Below are 12,552 nucleotides of genomic sequence, written 5' to 3'. Positions count from 1 at the left end.
CACGTGATGTGGACATAAACACTACAACCAAGGATAATCCATGCTCCTTCGGGAATGAGAAATTCTTTCTCCGTCTTCTAGATTCCCACCATGTAGAAATAGGATACCCTAGAATGTCACAAGGCTTTGAGTGGGCAACTGTCCTCCGTTGCTGAGGATGAGAGGCTTATTAGGATACGGAACTTTCAGTGTGAAAACCAGGACAGCAGCAGGCAATCTGCGAAGAGTTGTCACCCTAGTTGGAACTCAGGTTCAACCACCTGATTAATTCTTTCTTAATTCATCCAAGTCTCACTTTGTCTGTAAATCAAAATAGCCCTTAAAGTAGTTATGACTAATAAAGGAAAAATTATGCTGTTAAAAAGGCTGACACAGGGCCAGGCGCGGGGGCTCACGCCTGTAATCCCAGCACTTTGGGAGGCCAAGGCAGGTGGACCATTTTAGGTCAGGAGTTTGAGACCAGCCTGACCAACATGGTGAAACCCCATCTCTGTCAAAACACAAAAAAAATTAGCCAGGTGTGGTGGTATATGTCTGTAATCCCAGTTACTCAGGAGGCTGAGGCCGGAGAATCACTTGAACCCAGGAGGCAGAGGTTGCAGTGAGCTAAGATCATGCCACTGCACTCCAGCCTGACCAACAGAGCAAGACTCTATCTCCAAAAAAAAAAAAAACAAAAAAAAAAAAGAAAAGAAAAGAAAAGAAAAACAAAGAAAAAGAAAAAACAAAACAACTGACACAGGACCCAGCACTTGCTAGCTGTTAATAAAACATAGCAAGGGGGTAATCGCTCTGTGTAAAGAGAAGGGCACATGTTGTTTAAGGATACAGAATTTCTTATAGAGATCAGATTAAATGAACATTTTATAAAGAAGCCTAAAGATAGGTAAGTGGAAGCCTGTCATAGTATTCTCCCTTATTTTGTATATATTTAATTTTTTTTTTTTTTTTGACAAGATCTTTCTCTGTCATCCAGGCTGGAGTGCAGTGGTGTGGTCATAACTCACTGCAGTCTCAAACTCCCAGGCTCAGACGATCCTTCCACCTTAGCCTCCCGAGTAACTGGGACTACAGGGGCACACCACCATGCATGGCTATTTTATTTCTTATTTTTTATTTTTGTAGAGATGGGCTCCCCCTATGTTGCCCAAGGTGGTCAAGGTGGTCTTGAGTTCCTGGTCTCAAGCAATCCTTCTGCCTAGGCCTCACAAACGTAACAAAATTGTTAACAATACAAGTAAGGCTTTCACGTGAATCAAAAAGCTAAATTCTCAGAAAGTAATTGTATACTTGTGAAAAATCATACTGTACCAATAAGAACTATACAACAAAATAAATATATACAAGGCTATCCACGGTGTTTGTGACAAACTAAAGCAGCAAATATAAAGTAAACTAAATATACCATTGAGGAATTATTACATTTAGAATATATCCATATGATAGAATACTATGCAGCCATTAAAATCATAAACAAATCTACCGACCTTATAAAACATTTATGTTATAAAATAAAATTTAATGTATTTTATTATCAGACACAGACACACACAGAAACAGAGAAAGAGAAAGAAAGAGATAGAAAGGTTATGGAAGATATATAAAAATAAGGGCAGGCATGGCGGCTCACGCCTGTAATCTCAGCACTTTGGGAGGCTGAGGCAGGCAAATCACGAGGTCAGAAGTTCAAGACCAGCCTGACCAACATGGTGAAACCCCCATCTCTACTAAAAATACAAAAGTTAGCCCAGCGTGGTGGCACACGCCTGTAATCCCAGCTACTTGGGAGGCTAAGGCAGGAGAATCACTTGAACCCAGGAGGCAGAGGTTGTAGTGAGCAGAGATCATGTCACTGCACCCCAGCCTGGGCAACAGAGAGACACTCCATCTAAAAGAAAAAAAAAATATATGTGTGTGTGTGTGTGTGTGTGTGTGTGTGTGTGTGTGTGTATATGTATATATATATATGTGTGTGTATATATATGTGTGTGTATATATATGTGTGTGTGTATATATATATGTGTGTATATATATGTGTATATATGTGTATATATATGTGTGTGTATATATATATGTGTGTGTGTATATATATATGTGTGTGTGTGTGTGTATATATATATATATATATATACATGTAAAAAAAACAGGAGGCTGGGCACAGTGGCTCACCTCTGAAATTCCAGCACTTTGGGAGGCTAAGGCAGGATAATCACTTGAGCCCAGTATTCAAAACCAGCCTGAGCAACACAGCAAGACCCCATCTCAACAACAACCACCCGAAAGTGAGCCAGGTGTGGTGGTGTGTGGCTGTAGTCCCAGCTACTTCGGAGGCTGAGATAGGAGGATTACTTGAGCCCAGGAGTTCAAGGGCTGCAATGAGCTATGATCATACCACTACAGGCATCAGAGCAAGACTCTGTTTCCAAATCAAAAAAAAGACACTTTTCACATCGCAGCCTAAGACGTACAAGTTTTTAAAAAACAAACATTGGCATGCAATAAAGGGAAACATAAAAATCTTTATAGAAATTAAAATCTTCTGCTCTCTAAAACAGTGGAACAAAAGTGACGAATATATGCAATCATATAGAAGCCCCATATTTTTAGTATATAAAGAGTTCTTACAAATCTATGAGACAAACACGTATCTTCTTAAGAGTCTAACAGAAACAGTGGCAGACATTAGAAATTTTATAAAGGTAGATTACAAATAACCATTGCAATATTTAACACGTCCAACTACACTAGTAGTAAATATTAAAATATTTTCTATCAAATTAGCATATTTATTCATACTATTATATTTGTATTATCTTGTATAAAGTTGGTGGGAATATATATTCCTGCACCCTGGATATTAAGTTGAAAACATGTATCATGAGAATTGAAAGATTCACATTATTTCACCAAGTAATCCTGTTTCCAAGCAATAAAGCATGTATGTAGCAGGGGCAGCAAAAATTGCACAGTTAATATCATGAGGGAGAAGTATTTTATCATTGATAATGTTTAGAATTGTCAGCACATGACTGTAAAAAGCAGATCAAGTTTTAGCCAGCTTTACTGTTGTTTTTCCATTCTATATAAAATGCTTCCCCATTTTACCTGCATCTGGGGCAGACCATTCCCATAGCAACCTCCCATCCTTTTCATATGCCACTGCTTTATAGTGGGTTGAATGGTAGGAATCTGTGAGTTGAATGGTACCTCCCATCCCATTGCTTCCATAGTGAGTTGAATGGTAGGGATCTGTGAATGCGACCTTATTTGGAAAAAGGGTCTTCGCAAATGTGATTAAGTCCCACATCTTAAAATGAGATCATCTTGGATTAAGGTGGGCCTTAAATCCAATGACAGGCCTATCCTTACAAAACAGAAGGGGAGAAGGAACACCCACAGAGAAGGAGATGGAAAGACAGAGGCAGAGATTAGACTGACTAAGATAAAAGCCAAGAAATTCCAAGGGTGGCTGGCAGTCATGGGAAGCTAGGAGAAAGGCATGGAACAGATGCTCCTTCCAGCCTCCAGAAGGAGCCAACGCTGCAAACCACTTGATTTCAGATGTTTGGTCTCTGAAACTGTAAGAGAGTAAAATTCTGTTGTTTTGAGGCACTCCATCTGTGGTAATTTGTTATAATAGCTTTAGAAAACTAATATAGCTTCCAAGATTATTTCCTAATATTCAAAATTCATATAAACGTTTATGCCCAAGAATCCATAATGACATGTCAACTAAAATTATAAAATTACATATGAACTAGAAGCAATCTAACATCCAACAACAGAGAAGTGGATAAATAATGATTAAGCCAGAGGTTCCCAAACTTTCTCAATTTAATTGAAAAAGCAGGAAATTAAAATTAATATGTGTGATTCATACCCCATACCCCACGAAAAGATTTCCAGATATACAGTCAGGATTACTTTTTTTCCTATTTCCTGTTTATGGTTTTTGGTATTTTCCAACTTTTCTACAATAAGCATTAGCTAATTTATTAAAGAACTTTACTGAAATATAATGCACATACCATAAAATCTACCTATGTATACTGTACAGCTGTTTTAGTATACTCAAATAATTGTACAACCATAACTACATTCTAATTTTATAGCACTTTTTTAACTCAAAAAAAAAAAAAAAAATTAGCAATCACTAGCCACCCTCTATCTACCTACACTCTTATTCCCAAAACACCATCAGTGTACTTTCTGTCCTATAGATTCGCCTATTCCGGACATTTTATATACTAAATGGAACCATACAATACGTAGTCTTTTGTGACTGGCTTCTGTCCCTTGGCATGATGTTTGCAGGGTTCATCCATGTTGTAGCATATATCAGTAATCCATTTCTTTTTAATGGGCAAATAATATTCCATTATATGAATATACCACGCTTTGTTTATCCATTCACCAATGATGGATATTTGGATTGTTTCCATTTATTGGCTATTAGGAATATCACTACTATGTACATTCATTTGTAAGATGCTATGGAAATGCATGTTTTCATTTCTCTTCAAGATACATCTAGGAGTGGGATTATTGGGTCATATGGTAATTCAATGTTTAACTTTTTGAATAATGGCCAAACTGTTTTCCAGTTTGGCCATACAATTTTACATTTCCGCCAGGACTGTATTTGAACTTTCATCTCTCCATGTGTTTGTAAGTATTTGTTATCTGACTTTTTTATTTTAGCCATCCTAGCAATAAGTGGAATCTCATTGTGGCTTTCATTTGCATTTCCCTAATGAGATTGAACATCTTTTATGTATTCATTGGCAATTTGTGTATCATATTTGGAGGAATATCTATTTAGATCTTATGCTCATTTTTTAAATGAGTTTTCATTATTGAATTGTAAAAGTTCTTTATTCTAGATACAAATCCCTTATTTAATATTTAATTTGTAAGTATTTCCCCCATTCTGTAGGTCATCTGTACACTTTCGTGATGGTATCATTTGCAGCACAAACACTTTTCATTCTGGATCATTCTGGATATCTTTTTTTCTTTTGTCACTTGTGCTGTCAGGGTTGTATCCAAGAAATCATTGTCTAAGCCAAAATCAGAAAAATATACCCCTATGTTTGCTTCTAAGAGTTGTATAGTTTTAGCTCTTACATTTAAGTCTCTGACCCTTTTTTTTTTTTTTTTTTTTTTTTTGCTATTTTTTGCTGTGTAGTTTATGCAAGTGTGATCTAATCTCATTCTTTTGCATGGGGCTATCCAGTGGTTCTAGCATCACTGTTGAAAAGACTATTTTGAATTGTCTTGGCATCCTTGCTGAAAATCAATTCACAATATGCATGGATTCATTTCTGGACTCTCAAGTCTATTTTATTATCTATAGATCTATTCTTATGCCAATATGACACTGTCTTTATTACTAAGGATTTATAGAAAGTTTTGAAATTGAGAAATGGAAGCCCTCCAACACTCTTCTTTTTCAAGCTTGTTTTGGTTATTCAGGTTCCTTTGCATTCATATACAAAATGTAGGATCAGCTTTTCAATTTCTGTAAAAAAGTCAACTGAAATTTTAATAGAGATTGCACTAAATTTGTACACAATTTGCAGAGTTTGGTCAGCTATACAATATTAAATCTTCTGATACATGAACATGGGATGCCTTCATTGCTAGTATATAGAAATACAATTGACTTACGCATATTAAACTTTTATCCTACTTTTATCCTGGCTGAACCTGTTCATTTTAATATTTTTTAAGTACCTTTCTAGGATTTTCTACAGATAAGGTGATTTCATTTGCAAATAAAGATAGTTTTACTTCTTTTCAATCTGGATCTTTTTTTTCCATTCTTTTGCTTTTTTGTTTTTTGCCCAATTTCCCTAGCTAGGATTTCTAGTAGAATATTAAAGTGATGAGAGTGAATATCCTTGTCTTATTTCTTGATCCTAAGGGGACGGTACTCAATCTTTCAGCATTAATTATGATGTCATTTGTGGGTTTTTTGCAGATGCCCTTTATTGAGTTGAGAAAATGCCACTTTGTTCCAAGTTTACTAAAAGTTTTCATCAAGAAAGCGTGCTGGACCTTTTTAAAACATGTTTTTATGTATGTATTGAGAGGATCTTTTATTCTACTATTATGTTATATTATATTGACTGATTTTTTAATATAAAACCAACCGTGAATTGTTTGGATAAATTCCACTTAGTCATAATATACAATTCTTTGTATATGTGGCTGCATTTGGCTTGCTAGCATTTTGTACAAAATTGTTGCATCTCTATTTATAAGTGAAAGTGACCTAAAGTTTCCTTTTCTTGTGATATCTTTGTCTGCCTCTGTTGTCAGAGTAATAGTGGCTTCACAGTGTCAGATGGAAAGTGTTTCCTCCTCTTCTGTTTTTTTAAAAGAGTTTGTGGAAAATTGATATTAATTCTTTTTTTTTTTTTCTGAGATGGAGTCTTACTCTGTCTCCTGCCCAGGCTGGAGTGCAGTGGTGCAATCTCGGCTCACTGCAAGCTCCACCTCCCGGGTTCACGCCATTCTCCTGCCTCAGCCTCCCAAGTAGCTGGGCCTACAGGTGCCCGCCACCACGCCCCACTAATCTTGTTTTTGTATTTTTAGTAGAGACGGGGTTTCACCATGTTAGCCAGGATGGTCTTGACCTCCTGACCTCGTGATCCACCCACCTCAGCCTCCCAAAGTGTTGGGATTACAGGCGTGAGCCACCGTTCCCGGCCAGTATTAATTCTTTAAGCGCTTGCTGGAAAGCACTCATTAATTTTTTAACTAGAAAAACGTATTTAATCACTGTTGTTGTTTGAAGTATTCATGCAAATCTTATTATCACTCGGTAATCTGGATCTTATTAAGGAATAATTCATTCTGTTGCCTCATCTGTTTTCCCACCCATCCCCTACCTAAAACCTGAAAAGTCATGGTGTGGTTGGGGTCAGTTGCAGTTATTTGACAACACCTGTTTTCCACATAGGGTGCCCACTACAATTGTCAATACACAGTCCCTCAATAGCCCAGCTACTCTGTGAAGAGATAGGCAGAAATCCTTTGAAGCACCGAGCCTACCTGTAACACTCATTAGACTCTGCTTCAAATCAAAGCAGAATCTACTAATTTGTAGCAGGGATAATTCATATATTGTAGTAAGACAGGACCACTGCTAAAAACCTTGCGGGGAAGAGGGAAAGATGGGCAAAGTGAAGAGAGACTTACATTTGAACTCCTTTCAGGTTGCATCTGAAATATTTTGCTCACTTTTCCAGGGCTATTAATACTTTTTTTTCCTTTTTTGAGTACTAACTATGGGTTAGGCACTTTTTAAGAGCTTTTTGTATTTAAGAACCCTACGTGACATATATTATGATTGCCATTTACAGACAGAAATGAAGTTTCAGAAATAGCTAACATAGGCCAGATATGGTGGCTCATGCCTGTAATCTCAGCACAGTGGGAGGCCAAGACAGCAGCATCTTTTGGACTCAGGGGTTCAAGACCAACCTGGACAACATAGCAAGACCTCATCTCTACAAAAAATTAAAAACTCAAAACTAAAAAGAAAAAAATAAAAATAGCCAGTGGCATGCACCTGTAGTCTCAGCTACTTGGGAAGCTGAGGTGGGAGGATCTCTTGAACCTGGGAGGTTGTGGCTGCAGTGAGCTGTAATCACCCCACTGATCTCCAGCCTGGGCAACTGAGGAAGAGCAACACCCTGTCTCAAAATGAAAAAAAAGCTAATATAAAGAAGCAAACACACACACACCCCCAAAGGGTCACCTGACTTCAAGGCTACTGCACAATACCTTCTGTCTTACATAAGCTCCCTGAAATGGACAGAACCAACTTCTTAGAGAAACTGTAGCTCAGCCATGTTATTTTCCTTACCTGACTCATGGCCAGTTAGTTCACCCCTGTGAATCTGTGTCCTCCCCTGTAAACTAAATATACTCCTCCCATGGTTGTGAGAAGTAAAGCCCCAGTATCTTGCTGGCCTGCCAGCTTAGATAATTGTTATTTCTCCTCTTTATCCTTCACTTTTATCCACAAGACAAAATTAAATTCCTCAAAGATAGTTTCTGCAGTGTTTACCTAATTTTAAGACAGGCCTGGACATTGGGAATTTTAACTTCATACTTCTCAATAACAACAATGTCTCTTCTAGTTACTTTTATTCTTGCCTGTACATTCTCTCAAGAAAATGCAAACCTCAGCAAACCAAGGAACTTGCTACCAAAGACAGGCCTGGAGGCAAGAACCCACAGAGGACCTGGGAAAACCCTTTCCTCTCTCACCAAATTTTAATACCCTTCATTAATGTTAATTGCACAACTCCAGAGGCAAAATATGTATCCTGTACCTAAAACTTGTCACCTCTATTAATTAAAAACAGGCTTGTGGAATATGAAACTATAAAGTGCTTGACTTTGTTTTAATTGTAAAGACACTTAATTGGCTTGTACAAAAGGAAAAGAATTACTTTTGCCTCACTTTAATGAGGTTCTTATTATTCAAATGGCACATTGCGCTCAGTTTTGACTAAAAGCCATTGCAATTCAAAAGGCTCTGAGATGATGAATATTTACAGACTATGAAAAGGAAAAGTTCAAACTATAAAGACAGAATGGAAACAAAAATAGTATCCTTCCAAAAACTGATGTTACTAGTCAGCATTTTAAGGGGCTGATTTTTTTTCTTCTTCTTGGGTGGATTCTCATCTGTGAGAGGTGATTAAGGGCAGAAAAGGTTGTCCTCCTTGTTTAGAGCCTGAGATTCCAATGGAAGGCAGCATGCAGGTTCTACATGGCTCTCATCTACCCACAGATAAAGCCCCTCCACCTTTCTGATGAGTGGCCCCATGGCATTCTCTGTGTCTGCTGACTGTGGGGATGCTATTTACAAACCAGCAACCCCTTCAACTAGAGCCAATGCATTCCTTCTGGGCCAGAGGACATCCCCTCAGTAGTTAAGGTGGTAGTGGTGGGGGCGGGGGTTGTCATCAATGAGAGTGACAATGGGCCAAGATTCCTTATGACAGAGCCAGGCTTTCTGGCAAGAGTGGAGTGAGGTGGCACTTCCTACTGCAAAGGGACCAGCTCCTTCCCTTTTTTAACCCCTCAAGATCCCTACCACTGACTACCCCGTCTCTTTCTAGCATTTTCTATCTTTCTGAAACCCCCTTTGTGAAATAATAACTGAGGAAATTAAAACTAACCTAACAGACTCCATCTTGTCCTTAGTCTCAGAGGTTTGTCAGAAGCATTCAAACCAGAGTGACTCCATTTTGAATAGGGGCTGGGTAAAATAAGATTGAGACCTACTGGGCTGCATTCCCACGAGGTCAGGCATTCTAAGTTACAGGATAACATAGGAGGTCAGCACAAGATACAGGTCATAAAGACCTTGCTGATAAAATAGGTTGCAGTAAAGAAGCCGGCCAAAACCCACCAAAACAAAGATGGCAACGACATTTGGTCATCCTTACTACTCATTATACCCTAATATGAATCCATTAGCACGCTAAGAGACACTCCCACCAGCACCATGACAGTGTACACATGCCATGGCAACATCAAGAAGTTACCCTATATGGTCTAAAAAGGGGAAGAACCCTCACTTCCGGGAACTGCCTACCCCTTTCCGTGAAAACTCATGAGTAATCTACCCCTTGTTTATAGTTACATAAAATATATATTATATATAATATTGTATTATAATTATATATATTATATTAAAATATATTATAGCTAATCAATAATTAACTATAAATATCCTTAGTCCAACAGCCAAAGTTGCTGCTCTGCCTATGGAGTAGCCATTCTTTTATTCTTTTACTTTCTTTATAAAGTTACTTTAATTTTATAGACTCACCCCAAATTCTTTCTTGCCCAAGATCCAACAACTCTCTCTTGGGGTCTAGATTGGGACCCGTTTCCGGTAACTGGTTAGCTGTCTTTGGTCATTCCTGGGCATGGGCCAAGCTAACTTTGGGAGAAATTTCGTTTATAGTTTAAATAACAGCTTTCCCCCAAAACTAAACTGTTCCTGTAAAATGAATGAAAGGCCACCACGTTAGGATGAGAGGGGCTTGAGTTTTAAATAATTACCAGCCGTTATTCCTCAGGTCACAAGATTTGCAACTTTCTCAATTATTCATGCAGATAACATCACTGTTGTAGAACCTAAGATTGGCTTTTGAGATGTCTTTTCAGATTTTTGCTTTTTGTTTGTTTGTTTGTTTTAAGACAGTTTCACTCTGCATTGCAGGCTGGAGTGCAGTGGCGCAATTGGCTCACTGCAATCTCCTCCTCCTGGGTTTAAGTGATCCTCGTGCCTCAACCTCCTGAGTAGCTGGGATTACAGGTGCACAGCACCATGCCCAGCTAATTTTTGTATTTTTAGTAGATGCAGGGTTTCACCACGTTGGCCAGGCTGGTCTTGAACTCCTGACCTCAAGTGATCTGCCCACCTCTGTTACACGTGTCCATGTGAAGAGACCACCAAACAGGCTTTGTGTGAGCAATAAAGCTTTTTAATCACCTGAGTGCAGGCAGACGGAGTTTGAAAAAGGGGTCAGCAAAGGGAAATAGGTGTAGGGCAGTTTTACAGGATTTGGGTGGGTAGTGGAAAATTACAGTTAAAGGGGGTTTTGTCTTGCAGGCAGGGGCGGGGGTCACAAGGTGCTCGGTGGGGGAGCTCCTGAGACTCACTGCCTCAGGAAGAGGAATGTCACAAGGTCAACTGATCAGTTAGGGTGGGGCAGGAACAAATCACACTGATGGAATGTCATCAGTTAAGGCAAGAACTGGCTATTTCACTTCTTTTGTAGTTCTTCAGTTGCTTCAGGCCATCTGGATGTATATGTGCAGGTCACAGGGGTTATGACGGCTCAGCTTGGGCTCAGAGGCCTGACAACCTCAGCCTCCCAAAGTACTGGGATTACAGGGGTAAGCCATTGCACCAGCCAGATTTTTGCATTTCTGACAACACGGTGGCCCCATGCAGACCTGCCAACCAGTCCTTTGGCCCCCACCCAGGAACTGAGTCAGCACAGGAGGGCACCTTTGATTCCCTGTGATTTCATCTTCAAGCCAACAAATCAGTGTCAGGCCTCTGAGCCCAGGCTAAGCCATCATATCCCCAGTGACCTGCTCGTATGCATCCAGATGGCCTGAAGCAACTGAAGATCCACAAAAGAAGTGAAAATAGCCTTAACTGATGACATTCCCCCATTGTGATTTGCTTCTGTCCCTACCTAACTGATCAACGTACTTTGTAATCTCCACCACCTTTAAGAAGGTTCTTTGTAATTCTCCCCACCCTTGAGAATGTACTTTGTGAGATCCACCCGCTGCCCCAAAAACATTGCTCCTAACTCTACCGCCTATGCCAAAACCTCTAAGAACTAATGACAATCCCATCACCCTTTGCTGACTCCTTTTTCAGACTCAGCCCACCTGCACCCAGGTGAAATAAACAGCCTTGTTGTTCACACAAACCCTGTTTGGTGGTCTCTTCACATGGACACGTGAGACAATCAGCACTCCCAGATCACTCACTGGCTCCCTATCCACCACATTTCTCCTTAAAGACTCCGATCCCTGAATTCTCGGGGAGATTGATTTGAGTAGTACAACTCTGGTTTCCCATACAGCTGGCTCTGTGTGGATTAAATTCTTTCTCTATTTGCAGTACCCCCGTCTTGATAAATCAGCTCTGTCCAGCTAGCAGGAAAGGAGAACCCATTAGGTGGTTACATTTTCCTCTCCACTGGCTCATTCTTGCTACGCGTCAGCTCAATCAGATCTTTCTGACCATCAGGTAAGGAAAAATCAGAACAGAAGGAAAGAAATGCAGAAAACAAAGAGGGTAAAAAAGACAAGGGCTGGGAAGAGAAAAAAGGACATTCACTTGACCTAGGCAGGTTGCACTCGTCTCTCTCTTCCCATTTATGGTCTATAGTTTTGAAATATTCATCTCCATTCAGTCTCCTTCCCTGACCCAAATCTACTTCTCATCATCAGCTGAATGAATTCCATTCTATCACCATCCAGAACCTCTCAAAACTGCCTGGCGAGGAGTGGCTTCTCAATCAATAAATTCAGCAACCTCCTCTCTGCTAAGACTAGACTGCCCTGTTGCAGAGGATCCTGCTCCTCCCTCACTTCTGGCTCACTTTCCTGTCTTGGCTTCTGTGATACCATCCACTCTTGGACCTCCCAATGCCACTACCACTCCATTTTTTGTCTCCTCCAACCCTTCCTCTTTTGCCCATTGTTCCATCACCAATCTCTTTTCATTCCATCTCTAAAATCTTCCCTGCAGCAGTTTCTTCCAAATCCATGACTCCGAACAAAATCGCCATGAAGACTTCAAACCCTTAGCTCTAGCCACTATATTCTTTCCAAGTTCCAGAATCTCATTCCCACCTGTCAGTCTTATCTTCCTGGATACCTTCCCACAAATTCAGGGTCAACATGCCTAAATCTAAACTCTTCATCTTCTCTCCTCACATCTCCTCCCCGTCCTGATACCCTTTATTTCTGTAATGGCTGATATTTGCA

The 12,552-nt window shown here is 39.6% G+C and overlaps 1 protein-coding gene across 2 annotated transcripts in view, besides 1 other annotated feature; it reads right to left on the bottom strand.

The window, feature by feature from the left end:
• WWOX (WW domain containing oxidoreductase) overlaps positions 1–12,552 on the bottom strand; it is a 1,113,014-nt gene that overhangs the window by 787,873 nt on the left and 312,589 nt on the right. The window lies entirely within an intron of this gene.
• Positions 2,887–3,620: an enhancer, noted in NCBI's record as "OCT4-NANOG hESC enhancer chr16:78455072-78455805 (GRCh37/hg19 assembly coordinates)". NCBI's record gives its function as "activates a minimal SCP1, AML or CMV promoter by ChIP-STARR-seq in naive H9 embryonic stem cells {active_cell/tissue: H9 hESC(naive)}" and the evidence as "EXISTENCE:reporter gene assay evidence [ECO:0000049][PMID:30033119]".

The sequence above is a fragment of the Homo sapiens genome, chromosome 16 (assembly GCF_000001405.40).
Source record: "Homo sapiens chromosome 16, GRCh38.p14 Primary Assembly".
Lineage (NCBI taxonomy): Eukaryota > Metazoa > Chordata > Mammalia > Primates > Hominidae > Homo > Homo sapiens.
Note: the sequence above shows the minus strand (reverse complement) of the source record. Positions and strands in the feature narration are given on the sequence as shown.